The 24311-nt window shown below is 38.3% G+C and overlaps 1 protein-coding gene across 41 annotated transcripts in view, besides 2 other annotated features; it reads right to left on the minus strand.

Annotated features, from left to right (window-relative positions):
• HERC1 (HECT and RLD domain containing E3 ubiquitin protein ligase family member 1) overlaps positions 1 to 24311 on the minus strand; it is a 225331-nt gene that overhangs the window by 197097 nt on the left and 3923 nt on the right. The gene's annotated exons all lie outside the window — the stretch shown is intronic.
• Positions 9980 to 10741: an enhancer, noted in NCBI's record as "OCT4-NANOG hESC enhancer chr15:64107893-64108654 (GRCh37/hg19 assembly coordinates)". NCBI's record gives its function as "activates a minimal SCP1, AML or CMV promoter by ChIP-STARR-seq in naive H9 embryonic stem cells {active_cell/tissue: H9 hESC(naive)}" and the evidence as "EXISTENCE:reporter gene assay evidence [ECO:0000049][PMID:30033119]".
• Positions 16209 to 16709: an enhancer, noted in NCBI's record as "H3K4me1 hESC enhancer chr15:64114122-64114622 (GRCh37/hg19 assembly coordinates)". NCBI's record gives its function as "activates a minimal SCP1, AML or CMV promoter by ChIP-STARR-seq in naive H9 embryonic stem cells {active_cell/tissue: H9 hESC(naive)}" and the evidence as "EXISTENCE:reporter gene assay evidence [ECO:0000049][PMID:30033119]".

Here is a 24311-nt window from a genome sequence, read left to right on the forward strand (position 1 = left end):
GGCAGGAGGACTGCTTGAGGTCAGCAGTTCAAGACCACCCTGGGCAATACAGGGAGACCCCATTTCTACAAAAAATAAGTTAGCCATGTATAGTGGTACGCTTCTGTGGTCCTAGCTACTTGGGAAGCTGAGGCAGGAGGATTGCCTGAGCCTGGGAGGTCAAAGCTGCAGCAAGCCATGATCATGCCACTGCACTACAGCCTGGGAAACAGAGCAAGACCCTATCTCAAAACAAAAAAAAAAAAACAAACAAAACCCAATTACTTGCAGGCCCTGCCTCTTGTCCACCCAATGCTGGTATTCCCAAAAGTTCTAGAACCTCCTTTTTCTTCTCAGTATATATTTTTTCTTAACATCAACCACTTCCTGTTCATTGCTAAAGCTTAACTCATCATCACTACAGATACCTCCCAAATCACCTCTGATGAGCATTTCTGCAGAACACAAGTGGTTTTTTTTTTTTCTCTTTGAGATAGGGTCTTGCTCTGTTGCCCAGGCTAGAGTGCAGTGGCTATTCACAGGTGCAGTCATAGCTCAGTGCACCCTCAAGCTCCTAGGCTGAAGCAATCTTCCCACCTCACCTACATAATCTTTACCTGTCAAAATCCACACTTTTCCTTCAAAGGCCTATCTCAAAGGTGACTTCTTCCATGAAGCTTTTCATGTTGTAATCACCCTACGCTCACCAACACAGATTTACTCACTTCCTCCTCTAACTCTCTTACTTTTGCTTACACACATGTACATTTATCATACTCTGCCTGGTTTGTTATTATTTGCGTACCTGTCTTCATCACTACTGCTCCATCCACCCCACAACCAGACTCATGCTTTGCAAGGCTGGTACTCTGCCCTACTCTTTTGTCCCTTTCAGCCACTGGCACCCTAGCTTTCTCACTGCAAGGGCTCAGAACATTGTAGAAGAGGAATTAATTCTGGTCTAACAAGTCTACGGAGAAATAACAAAATTAGTTACAGTGGGGGCTATAAGGATAAATCAGATAATAGATTGCATTCTGCCTTTGTTGTTGTAAGTTGGAACTCTGCCCAGAGAGAGATTGCCCCCACCCACTCCGAGACAGTCTTGCTCTGTCATCCAGGCTGGAGTGCAGTGGTGTGATCTCAGCTCACTCTTCAATTCTCCTGCCTCAGCCTCCCAAACAGCTGGGATTACAGGCATGCGCCACCGCGCCCGGCTAAGTTTTATATTTTTAGTAGAGACAGGGTTTCACCATGTTGGCCAGACTGGTCTTGAATTCCTGACCTGGTGATCCACCCACCTCGGCCTCCCAAAGTGCTGGGATTACAGGCATGAGCCACCACACCCGGCCTGAGTGATTTTTTTAAGGCTCAAAATCCACTAAACCAAATCTTCCTCCAAGAGCATTTTCATTATAACACTACCCTACTTTATAAATTTGCAATAATTTAAAATGGGTCCTGGACTAGGCATTCTCTATTTGCCCCCAACCTCCTCAAATCAAGCCTATTCTCTACCCTTCAAGCTCTGCTTTGCACCCTGTGAGGCTGTCCTCTGGCATTACACTGCCCAAGTTCTCTTCTTACTTCCAGTTGCATTGGGCCATTGAGAGGCACACATAGGAGGAAATGGGAGGATGAGAAGTAAAAGAAATTGGGGTTTTCATTTCTCTAGCTCCCTTCCCACCTCACAAAGCCATTTCCTCTAGGGCTACAGGTCCTGACCACTAGCTTGGCTTCCATTGCTCCAGCTCTCATCAGTTTCCAGTGTTCCTCTTCTTTTCCCCTCAGACTTAAAAGTGTACTAATGGCTTCCCAATAGTGTTAGGCCTTGGGAACATGACAATACTCTGCTGCTCTCCTTAACCCTTCCCAAAACTCTACAACTAGTCCATTTATTTCCTGTCAGGACCCTCACTGATGTAGATAGCTCCCCAGGCTTAAAATCACTTAGTCTGCTTAAGGTTCACAATCAACTGTCCCCACCAACCTAATAAATTTTACCACACCACACTCCCCAACTGTCTCTGCTCTAGTCAGGTAGGAATTCCTACCAATTCCTACATCACTCAGTTGAGATATGTTCAATCCTACCTTTGTGCCCCCACTCATGCTGTTGTCCTCTGTAATGCCCGCCCCTTCCTTTCCACTTATACTTCCTACAGTTACTAATTCAAATCCTACCTCCCCCGCCCCCTGCCCAAATTAAACCTGCTTGAACAACCTTAACCCTCAATTATCTTTCTTATCTTGGAATTTCTGTATCTGTCACAAGGAACTACTTTGAAAATAAATATTAGTTGTTACCCTATATGGTCTCTAATTGTTCATCATATATCCCCTAAAGGTAAGTAACATCAGCTATTTTAAGTTTCTTCTTTTGTATTCCTTTATGGAAGTTTAGCATAACATTATAGTAATTCTAGTTGACAAAAAAAAAAAAATACATCACTACAATGTCCTAGTACAAAAAGTTTGTGACAAGCAGCTATAAGCAAATTTATTATGTTTTTAATGATTTTGTTTTCAATGTAATGATTCTGAATAACGGCTGCTATCAAACTTGGGTGGTTTCTTTTTTAGAACATCAACGTACTTTTTCTTTCCTCAAAGAAACAGGGTCTTGCTCTGTTGCCTAGATTAGACTGCAGTGGCACAATCACAGCTCACTGGAGCCTTGAACTCCTGGGTCCAAGTGATCCTCCTGCCTCAGCATCCTGAGTAGCTAGGACTACAAGCACATGCTACCACTCAGCTAATTTTTTTCTTTTTTCCAGAGACAAGGTCTCACTATGTTGCCAAGGCTGGTCTCAAACTCCTGGCCTCAAGCAATCCTCCTGTCTCAGCCTCCCAAAGTGCTGGAATTACAGGCGTGAGCCACTGTACACTGCTCATCAATATACTTTTTAACGAAAGGATCTTTGGGGAAAAAAAAGAGTAAAGTAAGTTATCCACTTGTCAAGTTCAACAGTCTGTTACGGTAATAGATACAATTAATCCAGAAATGCAAACAGAAATGTCAGCACACACAAATACCTTAATTTGCAGCTGACCAGTGGCCACAAAGCAGACACTAGATGTCAACAGAAGTATACTTTCTAGAGGAATGAAGATCCTGAGGGTCCTTATCATATTGTCTGTAGAAAAAAATCACCTCCCATGTCTTTAGAACCATCAATCTGTTAGCAACTATAAAGGAAAGCCTACATCATGACAATCAACATTTTTAGTAAATTTATCCTCACAGAACTCCCAATGTTATATCCAATTGATACTTCAAGAACTCATTCTTATGGCCTCCCTAAAATAAAAAATGAAGAAATAGCAAAAATATCAGAAGTAAGTACTCTGGCTAGCTCCTCAAATAGTCACAGAATACTTACATATGAGTATGATTTTAAGGAGAAAAAAATAAAATTCAAAAGATTATCTGAAAGAGTTAATGGTATCAAAAGAAATAGGGATGGAGGGGGAAGACACAATAGTATCAACCACTGACTGGCTTCAAAGTTACCTTTAACCTCTTCATCAAAAAATAAACAAAAATAAAGGCATGAACCCCTAGTATATTCTAATGAACCAAGGGTCAGTCCTATTTGTACATTTTTCTAAATCTGTAATTATGTGTTAATTTTAATAAAGGTATTCTGACTTACCACTACAAACAACCTAACAAGAATGTGCAAGATTTATCCATAGTAAATTCCACTGCATACAAAGCAGTGCTCCTAAAAGACTCAGAACCTCAAAGCATATAAAGATACATAAGCAATTACAGTACAATATGATAATGTTCCCATAACAAGGCTACACATCAGGAGCTGTGGATAACACTAAGATAATGAAGAGAAAGAATGGCCAGGACACAACAGACCAATCCTGGGCCACTGCAAAAGTTGAGTTGAGAAATATGGGCCTAAAATAAAAGAGGAACAATATATTGAACTTGTACGGAGTTGAATTTTAAGGACATTTAGAAGGTATACTCAGCAGGACTAGGCTCAGTCAACATTTTCTTAGTGTAGTTTTAATCAAGAAACAAAGTACTGTTTAAACTAAGAAATATCCTATTCATTGCAGCCTTGTTTAGAATAGCAAAAAAAAAAAAAAAAGTAATAAAAGCAATGAAAAGGGGAAATGACGTTTTTTGTTTTCTGCTTTTTTAAAATAGAGATAAGGTCTCACTATGTTGCCCAGACTAGTCTCGAACCCCTGGGTTTAAGCAATCCTGCCTCAGCCTCCCAAAGTGCTGTGATTACAGGTGTGAGCCACTGCACCCAGCCAGGAAACAATCTAAAGTCCACAAATAATAAACTGGTTAAATAAATTATACACATATACTAGAATTCAAGGCAGTCATTAAAATGAATGAGGAAGATCTACAATTATTTGGAATGTATTAAGTTGAAAATGATTACTATGATATACTAAGTTAAAAATACATTAAGATGCAGACCAAGCACCCACATCAAAGTATACATACAAAAGAATTAAAAGCAGAGACTCAAACAGATATTTGTACACCAATGTTAATAGGAGCATTATTCATAATAATCAAAAGGCAGAAATAGACCAATTGTCCATCAACAGATGAATGGATAAACAAAATGTGGTGTATACACATACACTGAAATAGTACTCAGCCATAAAAAGAAATGAAATTTTGATATATACTATGAGGAGATCTTTAAACTATTATGTTTCATGAAATAAGCCATTTGTGTAAAAATAAAAAAAAAGAGGGGCTATATATATGAATGCATTACTAGAGTGGTTGAAAATCTCTGGAAGACACATAAGAAACCAATGACAGTTAACTCTGGGAAAAACTAGGAAAATGAAGATACAGTATGAATGAATGAAAGGGAGATATATCTTTTGCTATAACCTTTTTTATACTATGTAAGTTTCTTAACATTTGCATATATTGCTTCTTTTTTTTAATTTAAAAAAAGGGCAAAGATAGTTTTCTATGGATGCTAAAACCAATGGGAAAGCGTTGTAGGAGAGACAACTTTCACGTGATCTCAAAATACCACCACCTAATTGTTTATTAATTACAAAGGGGAAAAAAGTGTACATTTGCAAAGAAATAATCTGGTGATAGTCACCACCTTAAGCAATCAAATTTAGCATTACCTATAAAGAAGGAAAATGGCACTGAGTGCCTCCTGAGGTGATTTAAGGAGTACATAACATCACCTACATAGTGTTAATGCAGCAAATGTTTAACTTGAATATGTGATATTAAAGAACCAAGAGGCAAATTCACATTGTAGGACATTGTATAAGACAACTGGCCTAGATTATTCAATAAAGTTAATGTCATTTGGGAAAAAAAAAGGCTGGGGTTTACTCTAGATTTAAAGAAACATAAACACCAAAAGCAATATATGAATGTGATTGGATCCTGGACCCGAAAAAAACAAAAAGCAACTATAAAAGATATGTGGGAAACAAGAAAGATTTAAACACAAATGTTGCATATTAGGTGACAATGAATTAATGTTATTTTCCATCGGTGTGATAAAAGTATTGTGGTTAAGTTGGAGAATGTCCTTCTTCTTAGAAGATACATGCCAATGTACTGGGAGAGGACAGGGAGGATCATGATGACTACAAATTAGTCTCACTTAAAGCAAAATGTATGCATGTTTAGAGGGGAGGAAAAAAGCAGTTGCACCAAAATGTTGCAATTTGTGAATCTAGGTGAAAAGCGCTATTCTTCATTTTTTCTATAAATCTGAGAAATTTTCAAAATCAGAATTTGGGGAGGAGTATAGAAACAGCTGAATCAGGCACAGCTGAGCCCCGGTAACATAAAAGATGAAAGGGGCCGGGCGCGGTGGCTCACGCCTGTAATCCCAGCACTTTCGGCGGCCGAGACGGGCAGATCACGAGGTCGGGAGATCGAGACCATCCTGGCTAACATGGTGAAACCCCGTCTCTCCTAAAATTATACAAAATTAGCCGGGTGTGGTGGCAGGTGCCTGTAGTCCCAGCTACTCAGGAGGCTGAGGCAGGAGAATGGCGTGAACCCAGAAGGTGGAGCTTGCAGTGAGCCGAGATCGCGCCACTGTACTCCAGCCTGGGCGACTCAGTGAGACTCCGTCTCCAAAAAAAAAAAAAAAAAAACAGAAAGGAAAAAACAAAGGTTATCTTTGACAATGAAAGTATACATAGGAATTAAATGATAAACATGGTTTTTCTATTGTTAACCATGTTCTTCCTGATGGAGCATATGTAATAAACTCATTCATTCCCAGGAGTATCTGTATTAAACAAATCTTACTTTTAATTTCCTTACAACATAATCATTTTTAAGTAATTACAGTGAATCCATCTCTATAAATTTAGAGCCAGATTTGTAACTCTCGCTCAAAAATGAGCTGGCAGAAAAACACTGTTCCCATAAACATAGACACTAAGTTGCCTACCCTTCCTACAAGTAAGAGAAAAGCCAGACAGCAAGATGACAAGTTTACTTAGGGTTGTGTTTTTACAAATTACACAGAAGGAAGCTAAAGGGCAGCGAATAGCCTGGTTCACCAAAAATCATAGGAAGACACAACCTTCCATCTCTTAAATCTTCAACCCACATTTCCATTGTTTCAAAACAGTAGGAATTCCTATGTTAGAAAATATCTAGGCAAATCTGTATTGTAACATGACTGGAGGTAAGTTTTAGCAGGGAAAATCTAAAAGGCCAAACTGATTTGGAAATGTGTATGGGCTTACTTTTCTTTGAATACATCTATTGCCTTGAGAATTCACTTTCACACAACACACTGAAGTCACACTATAAAGATCTGATTCAAAAGGAAATGGGAAGTTTCTCCTGTTTCCTCATCTTGAACTGTATCTAACTCCCTCCTGAGAATCTCTCAGGTTGACAAAAAATAAGCAGAATATGAAAATAAATCCATCCCTGTGGAACTCATGAAGCTGCACACTAGTAAGCTTCACTTCTATGAATGTATATTATACTTTGATTAAAAAAGGTTTTTAAACATTTTTAAATAAAAGACATAGGTACAAATTTAACAAAACGAACAGGATCTACATGCTAAAAATTATAAAGAAAAAATAAAAATAATAAACGAAAAAATTATTAAGGAAAGAAATCAAAGATAATCAAAATAGATGGAAAGACATGCCACATTCCTAGATTCGAAGACTAAATATTATAAAATGTCAACTGTCCCCCAAATTGATCTATAAATTGAATGTAATACTTAACAAAATACCAGAAAGATTTTTTTGGAGTTATAAGCAACCTTATTTTAAAATTTTAAGTGGAAAGAGTAAGGAACTAGAATAGCTAAAAACACACACCTTACCATCAACTTACAATCAACGATATTGAGATACATAAATGAAACATATTGCCAATCCTCAAAAAGAAGATTTTCAAAATAAGACCTTCATAAAAATCTGCTTGGGCAGAGAGAATGATTAACAAAGCAAATTATTAGATATTGTCAATAAATCAGGAAGATTTGCTAAAGAATCTACAGGTGGTTTCTCAAGAATTGACTTCAAGTACAAAAATCCATTTTACAACACAACAGGTTCTTTTCCCTCCCACCACTACAACAGTACTGATAATCAGAGATGGACACACACACACACACACACACACACACACACACACACAAACTCGTAAGTACACACACTAAAAGAGCCCATACATAGATTACTCCAAAAGAGCCACACTTTATTCTTCTTAATGTTTACAAAATCTGAGTTACTTATCTTTTAATCTAGGATAGTGCGAAAGGGTTTTTTTTTAATATCAACCCAAAAAATAATCAATAACCCCAAAGTCTAAAGAAAAAACAATAAAATGAAGATTTACACTACTCATTGTCTCCTTAAATTAACCTAACCCCAAATAATTTTTTACCTACTCACCTAGCCTTTACTAACAGGTCAGCTATTAGTGTGGGAAGAAGAGGAGAGGAAACTATCCATCCCAGTTTGCCCAGGACATTACCATTGTATGCCTGTGTTTCTGTATGTACCATTTTACTGTGGCAGAGGCAGGAGATCAAATGCCTATCAATGTCCTCTTTCAAGAATACAGCATTTTGTCCAGGTATGGTGGCTCGCGCCTGTAATCCCAGCACTTTGGGAGGCCGAGGCAGGTGGATCACCTGAGGTCAGGAGTTTGAGACCAGCCTGGTGAAACCCCGTCTCTACAAAAAATGCAAAAATTAGCAGGGCATGGTGGCGGGTGCCAGTAATCCCAGCTACTTGGGAGGCTGAGGCAGGAGAATGGCTTGAACCCAGGAGGCAGAGGTTGCAGTGAGCTGAGATCGCACCATTGCACTCCAGCCTGGGTGACAAGCGCAAAACTCCATCTCAAAAAACAAAAAACAAACAACAACAAAAAAAGAGTACAGTATTTTAAGTTATAAAACTATATGTACAGAATTTGGAAAAGAGTATTTCTGTATATAAATAGACCTATTAAAAATCTGGACAACTATACATCATAATTTAACAATGATTATTCTGTGTGGTGGGATTACAGATGGTTTTCACCTTTCCCACTATCTAAAAATCATTTTTTACAACAAATATATTACTTTTCACACTTAGAAGGGAGTTATTTCCATTTGTTAAAATGCAACTTTTCTTTGTGACCCAAATCCTCATCTCAAGAGCACACACTACTCTTCTTTAATACATGTTATTTGCCAAGAACTAAGGCAATGTGATTTAGTATAGACAACATTAGCTTTGTGGGTGGGGGAGGGGGTTGGAGGTTTTTGTTTTTTTGAGATACAGTCTGGCTCTGCTGCCCATGCTGGAGTGCAGTGACACAATAGCTCACCACAACTTCCACCTCCCAGTTTCTAGCAATTCTCATACCTTAGCCACCCGAGTAGCTGGGATTACAGGCGTGCACCATCACATCCAGCTACTTTTTGTACTAGTTTTTGTATTTTTAGTAGAGACAGGGTTTTGCCATGTTGGCCAGGCTGGTCTTGAACTCCTGGCCTCAAGTTATCTGCCCGCCTCGGCCTCCCAAAGTGCTGGGATTACAGGCGTGAGCCACCACACACGGCCAACATTAGCTTTCAAGATGCAGAAAATTTAAATCCAAGAATCAGCTCTGCTGTGGAAAATATGAAACCTACCTGTCTACGTCTCAAAATTGTTAAGAGGATCAAATAAGAATTCATATGAAAGTATTTTAATGCAATGTACTAATGTGAGCTATGATTATTACAAGTTCATGAATAAAACTGTATAACCTCAGATCTCATGTATAAAATGAGTGGGGTCCTAAATGAGTTCCAAAGCATTTCTAAATCTGAAATTCTGTATTAACAGTGTCCTCTTAACTCAGCCTTCTACCTGCATCTAATCTACCTCCCCTAGAAGTATACCTTGTTTTATGGATAATGGTTCCCAGGTCTTCATGCTTTCTATCTTCACTAGGACGTAGCCAACTCTCCACATTCGTCTCTTATGGCTCTGATTGTCTAAAAGTTAAATATGTCCGTTCCCTCCAAAAAGACTTTAAATCCCCTCTTAATCTAATTTATATTTCACGCTCTCCACCTTCCATATCTTGCAATATAGAGTAGTGACTATACTATGCACATGAAACCTGAAGCCAGGCTACCTAGGTTTAGATCCTGGCTTTGCTATGTCACTAACTCTGCAATGTAACCTTGAACAATTTACTTAATCTTTCTGTGCCTCAGTTTCCTCATCTATAAAATAGGTATAACAAGAGTATGCCTACTGCAGAAGGTTGTGTAAAGTAATGAAAACCGTGCCTGGATGTAGTAAATGTTACATAGTGACTGATGAAGTCCTTTTCTAACCTTGCCTCTCTAAAAGTGTAATGCTTACAGGCTAAGATGAAACAATGAACCAACATTTGCCTCTGGCTTTTTCTCACTGAAAAATGTCTTATTTACCTATCAAAAGTTTCTCCATATCACTGTAGTGAAGTCAAACACACTCTTCATGGTTGGATATATTTTTTTTACTCTGTTCAAATCCTCTAACCTAACATGTTAGTCCGGTCTCATGCTGCTGTGAAGAAATACCCAAGACTGGGTAATTTATAAAGGAAAGAGGTTTAATTGCCTCACAGTTCCACAGGGCTGGAAAGGCCTCAGAAAACTTACAATCATGGCAGAAGGGGTTAGCAAACACATCCTTCTTCACATGGGGGCAAGAAGGAGAAGTGCCTAGCAAAAGGGGGGAAAGCCCCTTTTAAAACCATCAGATCTCATGAGAACTCACTATCAGGAAAACAGCATGAGGGTAACCATCCCCACGATTCATTTACCTCCCACCGGGTCCCTCCCCCCACACGTAGGGATTATGGGAACTAAAATTCAAGATAAGATTTGGGTGGGGACACAGCCAAACCATATACCTAACATTTCCCAAAACTTGTTCCTCAGATCACTAGTTCCTCAAGATGTTATAAGGAGGAAAAAAGGTTCAGAGATCAAATAAATTTGGAAAATACTAATTTAATGTTAAACAGGCTTCTTTACTGTAAGTCTTTTACATGTTAATATGTACTTGACATTCCAAGAGAGAATAAAGTACACATTGTTTCCCAAGTTTATTCGACTCCAGAGCCCTTTTGTCAAGGAGCCACATTGGGAAATGCTGCTGCTCCAGTTCTTTGACAGCTTTTAATAAAAATATGCTGTCTTATGTAAACTCAATATTTTATTAATCTGATTCACACAAAAGGTCTGTTCTCAAGTTCATGCTGAGAAATCTGGCTCAAGAAACTAGTAACTACTGCCCTGCACAAATTACTTTTGAAATTTCTGAATATCAACATTGTCCTCTTAAAAAGAACAAACATCAGTGACCAGCTCCATACTCTAAGTCACAAGCTATTTATTTCATGATGAGATTTTAACCTATTTATTTACCAACATCCTTTAAATAAAGTGTATTTATTCAACATTCCCAAATTATCAATAATGAAGACTTGCACTCTTCCTTTAAAGGAATTCCACCACAGAACCTTGCCAATCATCCCAGTACCAGTGCTGGCATACAGTGTCCTAAACATACAACTTACAGGGTTGAAGAAATACTTAAAAAAGAAAATGCCATCTAACACATGAATGAAGAAGGAATAATAGAATTTCACAATTTTGCAATCACTGATGAATTAAGAAGTCTAAGCAATTATCATCAACAGCTGCTAACATCACAAAGAGACATAAGACCTTACATATCTCCCGATGGAAACAAAAATCACTCCTATGAAGTACTCTTACTGAGAGGGAAAAAAAAATACAAACCAACCTATCAATTTACAGGAAATTCAGGAGACAGGAAGAACATGTTAACTGACATTACAGAGATGCAATGAGACTAAGGGAAACTTATCAGGGCAAACAACCTGCTTTCTTTTAAAAAATAAGAAAAAAAAGAGATGAAGAGAGTCTAAAGATTTAAAATGATGTAATAAACATGCCAAACTACTGTAAAGTATGAACCTTATTTGGATGTCACTTCAAGCAAATAAACTATAGATCTATATCTATCTATAAACCAGAGAAATATGAAGCCTGATTCATATTTGATATTAAGAACTTGCTATACATTTTTTGGTATGATAATGTTATTATGGTTATGCTATAAAAAGAGATAGACACTCTTATCTTTTAAAAATCAATATTGAAATATCTGAAAGGTAAACATTACGTATGTCAAGGATTTGATTTAAAACAATCCAGAGGCCGGGTGTGGTCGCTCACACCTGTAATCCAAACACTTTGGGTGGCCGAGGCAGGTGGATCACCTGAGGCAAGGAGTTCGAGACCAACCTGGCCAACATGACAAAACCGCATCTCTACTAAAAATACAAAAATTAGCCGGGCGGGGCAGCACATGCCTGTAATCCCAGCTACTTGGGAGGCTGAGGCACGAGAGTCGCTTGAACCCAGGAGTTGGAGGTTGCAGTCAGCCAAGTTCGCGCCACTACACTCCAGTGTGGGTGACACAGCGAGACTCTGTCTCAAATAATAATAACAACAACAATCCAAGGATTGGGGATGAGGGGTGCTAGATAGAAATATAGATGAAACAAGACTGCCTATGAGTTGATAATTCTTGAAGTTCAATATTGGGTACATGGGAGCTCTTTATACTATTCCCTCTACTTTTATGTTAATATATATTTAAAATATACTATAATAAAAAGATAAGAAAAAATGCTGTATGGGAATTGAATTATCATAGTATCTACCTATTCCCATAATAGATTAATCCAGAGTCAGGCACAAGTGAGTATTAATTTACTAACATCAAATTATATTTCTAGAATACCATAAGGAATCATTTGACATGAACTTCACAAGTAATCAACATGCTAAGCTCTCCTATATAATAATTACTCTTATTTGCAAGTCTGTTAACAATATCTAACCAATTTATAGCTCTCTGTGAAAAAAAGTGTTTAAGTATTATTTATTTTTAAATTTTTTTTATTAAATAAAGCAACAGTCACAGAAAAAAAATTGCAGACAATATTGCAGAATCATTGCTGTCTTTCTAGTCCTATGGGCCTATGGTACTTCTGGAATTTATTGTCAGCAGAGTTACTGCATAAAGCACTCCGGCTCACTGAGCTCCCAAACAGCACTAGTTTTATCTTGTGTACAAAAACCCTTTCCTGCCTGCCTACTCTGAAATAAGGAGCCAAACCGACAGATGGCAGACGAAAAGGAAGAGGGAGGTGATAAGGAGGCAGTACAAGACAGCACCAGGAAAAAATAACAGAAAGAACTGAAAGACATCTTAAATACGAATATAAAAATATAAAATATTCACCAATTTCTTAGATTTTTGCAAAACTAAGTCACATTTTGTCACTAATCAATTACTTTAAAGCTAAGTGATTCTGTGAATTCATATTGGATTTTATTCCTTTATATGGCGTAGCTTTGAGAGTTTTGAAAAATCCTTCTTAATATCTTAGACCAATTTAAATTAACCAAAGTATTTCAAACTATTCTCAAAAGAACAAGAGAAATGGGACATACTAAACTTTTATCAACATTTCACTACTGCCACATATCTGCCTTTTTAGAAGCTACCAGACTTTCTTTTTCAACTTCTAAAGAGTAAAGTGCCCCACCTCTATGCTAATCCATGATACAGTCAAAACCACTTCAGTATTACTGCAGCCTACTAGTAGGTTTTAATTAAAATATTGGTTTAAAAGATATTATAGTGCTGCCATTAGAATTATAGTTTTAATCTAAATTTATGTAAAACGCCTAGGCTTTTGGTATAACAAACATTATTTAAGAACATGCCAATTACCATAAGCCATCTTGGCCCATTCGTAATGCCAAGCACTTCTGCTTCCAGATTAAGCAGCTTTCCAATCACTTACTTTAGAGATCAAACCTGCAGTACCATATAACATAGAAGACCACTACTCATACTCTGGCAACTTTACAAAGAAATAGCAATTTCTAGGCTTTGGTTGCAGAACCAGAACCAGTTCATTTCTGGTTGCATCATTAAAAAAAGAACAACTAGAGGTTGAGATTATTCAGGGGCTCATTCCTAAGGCAGCTCCCTCTCTCTTCCATGGAAATTTGTCAAATGGAAGAATAACATCTGCCTGCCTGTCTCACAGAGGTGTTATTCACATCAATTGAGAAAATGTTTACAAAAGTATTTTATAAACTAAAAAACTATAAATAAATGTAAGTTGTTATTCTCTATTTGCACTCTAGACAGTTTGCTTAACCTTGCTCCTTAATATCATTAGGTTTCAAGGTCTACCAAGAAAAGCTTCGTATTTCAAGGCATAAAGATTCACTAATATTCACTTTTTAATAGCGAAGTCCAGTCCTTACACCAATTACTGTTCTCTTCTAACATCTATTCCTCTCCTTGGCAAAACAGAACTAGAAACATGCTTTAAGAAATCAAAGCAATAGGTAGTCTCTAAAGTTCCGTCTCATTGTCACCATGAATTCCTGAACACCCATATATCATGGTCCTGCCCACATGACAATACTTGGATGGGGTTTTCTATCAGCCAAAACTATGTCATTGAGGCTGGCCATGTCTATGCTCTGCCCCCGCTAGTCTCCACCAACATTTTTTCATTTCTGAATTCTCATCCAGTCTGCATCACTTTCTAGCTGCATGATCTTAGGCAAGTTACTTAACCTCTCTGTGCTTCAAATTCCTTATCTGCAAATAAGGTTTTACCCCATAAGTTTAAACGTGCGTTAAATAATACATGGAAAAACGCTAAGAGAGTGGATGTTAAGTGTTCTCACCACAAAAATGATGACTAAATGAAGTAATGTATATGTAAATTAGCTAGATTTAGTCATTCCACAATGTATATATACTTCAAAACTTCATGTAGCACACAAGAAATACATACAATTTTATCTGCCAATTTAAAAATAAAAAAATACATGAAACTTCTTAGAACAGTGACTGCACAGTAAATGTTCAGTGTGCTAGTGTTATTCCTTTATATGTGCATCTGTCTACTCCCCCACCACACCACCATCATTAAATTACACAAATCTTTCCATCATTCTCCATCCCTCATTCTTTCCAAAAGAATGAGCAAATTTTGAGAAGGCAGATACTATGATCATATTACTGACTAAATTTCATTATACATGACTGAATACTTGGTTATATAACAAAGTTCAATGATACTTCATAAAAAAGATAACGGCCCACGATGCTTCTAAATTTTATTAACATTGAAATATAATCTTCCTAGTTCTAAATTAGGTTAACCACTTATTTCCAATGCTATCAGTTATCAAGGCTGCTTACTTGAATTATATCAAATAAAAGTGGCCATCACCAAAGAGTTTTATGGTACAGGGACTAAGGTCTTAAAATACGGCAAAACTTTAAAAAGCCTTCCATAAATACTACTGTATTTGTTTAAAAACAACAATGTATCTCAAAAAAATCAAAAGCAACAGAGACGTTATCCTTTTTTTTTTGCTTTTGAGACAAGGTCTTGCTATGCTGCCTAGGCTAGTGTTGAACTCCTGTGCTCAAGCAGTTCTCCGGCCTTGGCCTCCCAAGTAGCTAGGACTATAGGCATGCCACCATGCCCAGCTTAACAGAGACTTTAAATCAGGAGTTTAGGGTGAGGAAAAATAACTTACCAGAAACAAGAGGAAATATTACTACTACATTAACATTACTACCATTATCATTAGGGGACAACAAATAGCTTAAACACTTGCAACCAGAACAAGAGCTAAAAATTCAAGTTTTGTTTTCACATATTACTTAGCACACTCGATGAACAATTATATGCTCTTGATAATGTTATAAATTCTAAATTCTAACATTTCACATGTAAGTACTCAATGCAAAGAATTCACAGCATTGTTTAACTGACTCAACAGTCCTCCTTTAGCTTAAGAATTACTTGAACTAGCCAGGTGCATTAGCTCATGCCTATAATCCCAGCACTTTGGGAGGCTGGGGTGAGAGGATCACTTGAACCCAGGAGTTTGAGACCAGCCTAGGCAACAGAGTGAGACCTCATCCCTAAAAAAATTAGCAGGGGGCCGGGTGCAGTGGCTCACACCTGTAATCCCAGAACTTTAGGAGGCTGAGGCGGGCGGATCACGAGGTCAGGAGATGGAGACCATCCTGACCAACATAGCAAAACCCCATCTCTACTAAAAACACACAAAAAATTAGCCAGGCATGGTGGCATGCACCTGTAGTCCCAGCTACTTGGGAAGCTAAGGCAGGGGAATCACTTGAACCAAGGAGGCAGAGGCTGCAATGAGCCGAGATCGTACCACTGCACTCCAGCCTGGTAACAGAGTGAGACTCTGTCTCAAAAAAAAAAAAAAAAAAAAATGTAGCAGGGTGTGGTTGTGCACGCCTGCAGTCACAGCTACCCTGGAGGCCAAGGTGGGAGGATCACCTGAGTCTTGGGAGGTCAAGGCTGTAATGAGCCATGATCCCACCACTGCACTCCAGCCTGGGAGACAGAGTGATACCCTGTCTCAAAAAAAAAAAAAAAAAAAAAAAATCAGATAATCTAATTTAGAGACAGTTTTACTCCACAGACAACTTCCTGGAGTTGTACTCCTAGTTTACCACATGCTAGGGACTTTTCTAGGCAGTGGAATAAACAACATATCCAAGGTTCCTGCTTTCATGGAGTTTACATTCTAGTAAGGAAGACAAATAATAACCAGGTAGGCAAGTAATTCTATTTCAGGAAGCATAAGTGCCATAAAAAAAAGTAAAGCAAGAGAGATAGGGGATGTAGGGAGTGGCCACTATTTTACACTGTATTCAGTGAAGATCTCTCTACAGGGGTGAAGTCTGAGGCACTCTCTTTAAACAGAAGCCTGAATTATGTGAGCGAGCCAGCAGTGCAAAAACTTGAGGAAAGGGACGAACAAGTTTTAAACCCTGGGAGTCTGCCTGGCCCGGTCAGGGAATACGGATAGTTCAATGTAGCAGAAGTGGAATAAACAAGGAGAGGGAGGCAGGGACTACATCATGTAGGACTTTGCAGGTCATGGCTAGGAATTTGGCTGTTCTTTTAATTTCTGTATTTTAAATTACTTTAAAATAGCCAGGTGCTGTGGCTCACGCCTGCAATCCCAGCACTTTGGGAAGCCGAGGCGGGCAGATCACTTAAGGCCAGGAGTTCGAGACCAGCCTGACCAACATGGTGAACCCCCATCTCTACTAAAAAGACAAAAATTAGCCGGGCGTGGTGGCGTGTGCCTGTAATCCCAGCAACTCGGGAGGCTGAGGCAGGATAATCGCTTGAACTCAGGAGGCAGAGGTTGCAGTGAGCCGAGATCATGCCACTGCACTCCAGCCTGGGCAACAGAGCAAGACTCTGTCTCAAAAAAAAAAAAATTTTTAAATAATAATTGTAATTTAATTTAGATGTCATCTAAAGTATTAAGGAGTGATTAACATTTGAAAAGGTCATTCTAGTTATGAAGTAGAAAACAGCCTATAAGAGGTCAAGTGAGAAAACAAGGAAACCAGATAAGAGACTATTATAATTACCCACACAGGAGATGGTGGTGGTTTAAACCAGAATAAGGCAGAGATGACAAAATGTGATCAGATTAGAAATGTATTCAGAAAATAGAGCCAAGATGATTTGCTAATAGACTGGTTAAAGGGTATAAAGAAAAAAGGAGAATCATAGATCACTTAGGATTCTAGCCTGAGCAACTAGTTGAATGGTCCTGCCATTTATTAATACTAAGAGCAGATTCAGAGGAAATAATGAGAATAAGAATCATACCTTCTGTGTTGTACAAATTTAGTTTGAGATGTCTATTAGATAGTTTGTTATATAAGTAAACTCATGTCATGGGGGTTTGTTGTACAGATTATTTCATCACCCAGGTATTAAGCCTAGTACCCATTAGTTATTTTTCCTGATCCTCTCCCTCCTCCCATTTTCCACTCTCCAATAGGCCCCAGTGACTGTTGCTCCCCTCTGTGTGTCCATGTTTTCTCATCATTTAGCTCCCACGTATAAGTGAGAACAAGCAGATGAACTATGACACTCAATCTTGGGGAGGGGGCTTAGGCTGAAGACATAAATGTGAGTCAACTGGCATATAGATAGTATTTAAAGTCATGGAACTAAATAAATACAGATGTAGAAGATTTTGTTTATTTCATCCTCACATCAGCCCTATGACGTAGCAACTATAATTATTCCCATTTTATAGATCAGAAAACTGAGACTAAGAGATTAAGACTTGCCTAACATCATTCTACCTAACTGGTAGAAGGAAGAAGGAGCTGGGGGAAAGAACAGATCTAACTGGTGACAATGCCCGTGACCTTTCTCAACTGGGGCTTGTTATCTGAACCTCAGAACATTGACAATGGTCGGAGTGGATACTTTCTCAATTCTCACAAGGATGGTACATAACTAGTGCCATCCTACATTGGAGAAAAGTTAATTATTTACATATAACAAATGTCCAAATGTCTTTGGGCATTTGGGTTTATTCTCTTATGAAACCCAGTTGAAAGAAAAAAAGAAACTATACTATACTACTATTATTCCATTATTATTATTCCATTACTACTATTGGGAATAATTTAAAATGAGAGACATTTCTGCATAGCAAAAGAACAATTAACAAAATGAAAACGTAGCCTACGGATTTGGAGAAAATATTTGCAAATTATGTATCTGTTAATATCCAAAATGCGTAAGGAACTCACACAACGCAATAGCAAAAAACAAAAATGAATAACCTGATTTTAAGACGGGCAAATGACTTGAATAGATATTTCTCCAAATAGGACATAAAAATGCCTCAACATCACTAATCATCAGGGAAACACAAATCAAAAAATCAAAACCACAATGAGGTATCACCTGACACCTGTGAGGATGGCAATTATCAAAGAGACAAGAGATAAGTGTTGATGAGGGAGTGGGGAAAAGGGAATATTTGAACACTGTTGGTGGAAATGTAAATTGGAACCGCCATTATGGAAAACAGTATGTAGGTTTCTCAAAAAATTAAAAAGGGCTGGGCGCAGTTGCTCACGCCTATAATCCCAGCACTTTGGGAGGCCGAGGTGGGCAGATCACAAGGTCAGGAGATGGAGACCATCCTGGCTAACACAGTGAAACCCCATCTCTACTAAAAATACAAAAAAATTAGCCGGGTGTGGTGGCAGGCACCTGTAGTCCCAGCTACTTAGGAGGCCAAGGCAGGAGAATCACTTGAACCCGGGAGGCAGAGGTTGCAGTGAGCTGAGATCATGCCACTGTACTCCAGCCTGGGCAACAGAGTGAGACTCCATCTCAAAAAAAAAAAAAAAATTAAAAAGAAAACCACCATATGATCCAGCAATCTCTCTTCTCGGTTTTAACCCAAAAGAAATAAAAGCAGCACCTCTGAGAGAGAGCTGCACTCCCATGTTCACTGCAGCATTATTCACACTAACTCAGATATGGAACCAACCTACACGTCTGTCAGTGGATGGCTCTATAAAGAAATTGTGATACAAACACACTCTGGAATAGTATTCAGCTTTCAAAAAGGAGATCCTGCCATTTACAACAAAACAAATGAAACTGGAGGACACTGTCTTAAGTGACACAAGTCAGACGTAGGAAAAAAAAAAAACACTAAATGATCTCTTCTATATGTGGAATCTTAAAAAAAAAAAAGTCAAATACATAGAAACAGAGACTAGAACAGTGGCTAGGAGAGTAGGGGAGATGCAGGTCAAGGGAACAAAGTTGCAGTTATGTAGGATGAATAAATCTAGAGATCTAAAATATAGCATGAGGGCTGGGCACGGTGGCTAATGCCTGTAATCAATCCCAGCACTGTGGGAGGCCGAGGCAGGGAGATCACTTGAGGCCGGGAGTTCGAGAGCAGTCTGGCCAACTTGGCAAAACCCCATCTCCTCAAAAATACAAAAAATTAGCCAGGTGTGGCAGCACACACCCAGCTACTCCAATGGCTAAGGCATGAGAATCACCTGAACCCAAGGTGGAGGTTACAGTGAACGCAGATCATGCCATTGCACCCCAGCCTAGGTGACAGAGCAAGACTCTGTCTCAAAAAATAAATAAAGTTAGCAAGAGCAATATAATTAATATTAGCATATTATATACCAGAAATTTTCTAAAAGTAGATTTTAAATGTTCCTAGCACATACAAAAAAAGTAACTATGTGAGATGATGGGTATCTTAAATTGCTTACATACAGCAATCATTTCACTATGTATATCAAAACATCATGTGTACACATTAAATTTATACAATAAATAAGTAAGTAAGCCTGAAATAAACAAATAAAATGAGAGAGAAGAGACTGGTGAACAATATGTTACCATCCTGTGACTTTTGTGGGCTTATTTTGTAATCAGTAAAATGAAGTATTATTTGAAGTTTTTATAGCAGCAAAGGTGATTGTACTTTAAGACTATCCCAGGCCTTTACTGGTTCCATTCACAATCAGCACTCAGCATCTATTTTCCTGGGAACATCAGTTCATTAGAAAACCACGAAAAAAAAGAAAAATAATAATTTTTTTTTTTTTGAGATGGAGTCTCGTTCTTGTCCCCCAGGCTGAGTATAGCGGTGGGTCTCAGCTCACTGCAACCTCCACCTCCTGGGTTCAAGTGATTCTCCTGCCTCAGCCTCCCGAGTAGCTGGGATTACAGGCACCCGCCACCATGCTCAGTTAATTTTTGTTTTTTTAGTAGAGACGGGGTTTCACCATGTTGGCCAGGCTGGTCTCAAACTCCTGACCTCAGGTGATCCACCCACCTCAGCCTCCCAAAGTGCTGGAACTAACAGGTGTGAGCCACCACGCCCGGCCAAATAATAATTTCTTAAAAAGAAAACGAATGGAATATAAACTCATCAAGTGCCAGAATCTTTGATTTTCAATTAATGTGTTCCAAGCACCTGGAGCAGCACTCTTTCTGGGAATGAACCTAAATTTCCAGTGTTGCTGGGCAGCACTTGTTACCCTAAAAGATGGGGATTTCTTCATGTTGTCTTGGTTTTTTGGCACCGCTAAAATCTAATAGGATTGCCCTAACCCAGAACTTTAAACTCGCGGTTTAATTTTCATTACGACTGCCCTTCTTCCTTATGGAACTATGACAGGTTCCAAGATACTGCCATTACTGGTCCAAATAACTACCATACCATGGGTATCAATACGTACTGTATATACCGTTCAAAATAACTATGTACAATGTGAACCAGTAACTACCATATCACATATTCTAGCCTAAGAAATATTCTTAGAATTTCAGTTATCCTCTGTTAAACCCCAAAAGTATTTTAGAGCACAGGTACTATGAATCAATGTAGCACTTCCATTAAATGCAAAATGTTAAAATGAACAATCCTGACTAGGCCAGAACTAATGGACTTTACCTGCACATAATAAGCTACATGTATGAATGCAGTATTAGTGGACAATGTATTTCATTTTCAAGCTATAAGAACCAACCATCTGCAAGCATTAAGCACTCATCCACAAGGGGTCACCCGAATGACTACTATTCTTTTAATCACTTATCTCTGGTAAAAAAAAAAAAAAAAAAAAAAAAAAAAAAATATATATATATATATATATATATATATAAAGTATGACAACGTATTCTGTTGGTGCTTTCACACATTACTGGTGAGAATGCAAATTGGTATACTTGTGGAGGAAAATCTGGAATTTGGGAATATCTAACAAAACTACATGTGCACTTAACTTTTGAACCAGCAATCACACTTACAGAAATCTACCTTGAAGATACGGTTCTAACGATACCAAAATACTACGCGCAAGGCTATTTACATAAGAAACAACCTAAATGCCCATACATAGATGAATGGTTGAAGAGGTTAAGAAACATCTACACAGTCAAGTCACAGCTGTAAAAAAGAATAGGCTGGGTGCAGTGGCTCACGCCTATAATCCCAACACTTTGGAAGGCCAGTGTGAGAGGATCACTTGAGCCCAGGAATTCGAGACCAGCCTGGGCAACATGACAAAACCCCATCTCAAAAAATCAACAAATTAGCCAGGTATAGCGGTGCACACTTGTAGTCCCAGCTACTTGGGTGGCTGATGAAGGAGGATCGCTTAAGCCCAGGGGATTAAGGCCACAGTTTGAGCCATGATTGTACCACTGCACTCCAGCCTGAGCAACAGAGTGAGACTGTGTCTTAAAAAAAAAAAAGACCGAAGAAAATGAAAGGAATATCTCTTCAAAAGAATGACCTGATTTGGAGTCATTTCCAGGATATACTATTGAGTGAAAAAAAGTGCAAAAGAGTATAGTATACTCTCCACATAAAAAAGAAGGGAACAGGAAAACAATCTGGCAGTTGCTCAAAAAGTTAAACATACAGTAATCATATGACCCAGCAATTCCACTCCTAGGTATATATACCCATGAGAATTAAAAATATATGTCCACACAAAAAATTGTACATGAATGTACAAAACAGCATTATTCATAACAGCTAAGAAGTAGAAAACCAAATGTACCTCAACTGACGCATGAACAAAATGTAGTATATTCACATAACGGAATAACATTCAGTTATCAAAAGGAATGAAGTACTGATACATGCTACAACATGGATGAACCTTGACAAAATTATGCTAAGTGAAAGAAGCCAGGCACAAAACGCCACATATTATATGATCCATTAACACAAAACATCCAGAATAGGCAAACACACACAGACAGAAAGTAGACTGGGAAGCGGACCTGGGAAGTGACTGCTAATGGATACACAGTTTCTTTTGGGGGTGATGAAAGTGTTCCGGAATTAGATAGTTGTGATGGTTGCACCATCTTGTGAATATACTAGAAACCACTGAATTGTACACTTTAAAAGGGTGAGTTGTATGGTATGTGAATTGTATGGCAATAAGTAACTGTATCAGAAGAAAAGGAATATAAGAGAACACCCACATATATTTTCATTTGTGTAACAGAAATAAAGGAAGGGACAAACCAGAAACTAAAGAGACTATGTACCCACAGGGCATGGGCAAGAGGTAGAAACAAAGATGGAGGGATGGAAATGAGATAGTAAAAACAAGGAGAGAGTGACACTTTTCAGTACAACTTTTTTCCTTTTTTTTTTTTAAGACAAAGTTTTGCTCTTGTTGCCCAGGCTGCAGTGCAATGGCGTGATCTTGGCATACCGCAACCTCCGCCTCCCAGGTTCAAGTGATTCTCCTGCCTCAGACTCTTGGGTAGCTGGGATTACAGGCAAGCGCCACCACACCAAGCTAATTTTGTATTTTTAGTAGAGATGGGGTTTCTCCATGTTGGCCAGGCTGGTCTCAAACTCCCAACCTCAGGTGATCCGCCCTCCTCGGCCTCCCAAAGTGCTGGGATTACAGGCATGAGCCACCGCACCCAGCCCAGTACACCTTTTTATACAGTAGTGTTTAGTAGAAGCAGTGTTTAGTAACTATAATGTTTCATATGCCAAAAAATAATAATAATTAAAATCAACTAGGGTTGGAGGGAACCCAAAATGGAACAGTAACAATAACAAATGAACTTAATGCATTAGGGATGAATAAGATTAAACTAAAGGGAGTGGTAAAGAAAATAACTAACCTAAGTAACTTTGGAAAACTATTTTGACTAGATACTATAAGGCTAAAGCAAAAATAACTACATACAAATACACTAATTAGTAAATACATTTTTCACTAGGGTACAGGTTAGCAATCTGTAACCACTTCATGTGTATTCTAGAAGTCAACAAATAAGTGAGTATACTTACTCTATATCATGAAAGCCAGGTTTCTGACAGAGACAGAAGGAACGGGAGAAGGTTAGAATGAACTTTGTGGTACTGGATTAGAATAGGTGTCAATATGAACCCATGGTTTTAAATATATATAGAATACAGGCAGGGTACTGTGGCTCACGCATGGAATCCCAACACTCTGAGAGGCCAAGGTGGGAGAATAACTTGAGCTCAGGAGCTCAAGGCCAACCTGGGCAAAACAGCAGGACCTCGTCTCTACTAAAAATTAAAAAAAAATCAGCGGGGCATGGTGGGTGCACATCTGTAGTCCCAGCTACTTGGGAGGCTGAGGTGGAAGGATGGCTTAAGCCCAGGAGTTCAAGGCTGCAGTAAGCTATGATCACGCCACGGCACTGCAGCCTGGGTGACAGAGTGAGGCCCTGTCTCAAAAAAGAAAGAAACGTCAGTATGTGTGTGTGTGTGTGCACATATATGTTTATATAAATATATATATATATATATATACACACACACACATATATAAATAATATGTGTGCACATATATGTATGTGTGTGTGTGTGTGTGTATATATATATATATATATATATATATATATATAATATACTGATATATTTCCTAGTTCTGCCAACTGAAGTCCTGGGAGCAATAAAACTCCAATAAACATACCGAGTATACAGATTTTGATTTTAAATACTATTCTCCAATAAAAGAAACCAGAGCTCCTTGGAGAAGTAGTCGACTCCAGGACTGGTGCAAGGAAAAATAAGATGAGCATGGAACAGCCTGTGGCCCCAGAATATAAGAAAGTGCTTGAAAAAGGGTAGAGGCCAACCTGAAAGAGCTTCCAATGGCCAAAGCTGGAACAATTTGAACAACAAAATAAATAATGATAGTATTGGATTATAATCCATAGAAAATAGAGATCCCATAAGAACACACTAATATAAACAAATAATTGAATAAATAAGTGAGGGAAAGGGGACATCTCTCCCTTAAAGAATTCCAATTAATAAATGCAGAAGGAATGA

Source organism: Homo sapiens, chromosome 15, assembly GCF_000001405.40.
Source record: "Homo sapiens chromosome 15, GRCh38.p14 Primary Assembly".
NCBI lineage: Eukaryota > Metazoa > Chordata > Mammalia > Primates > Hominidae > Homo > Homo sapiens.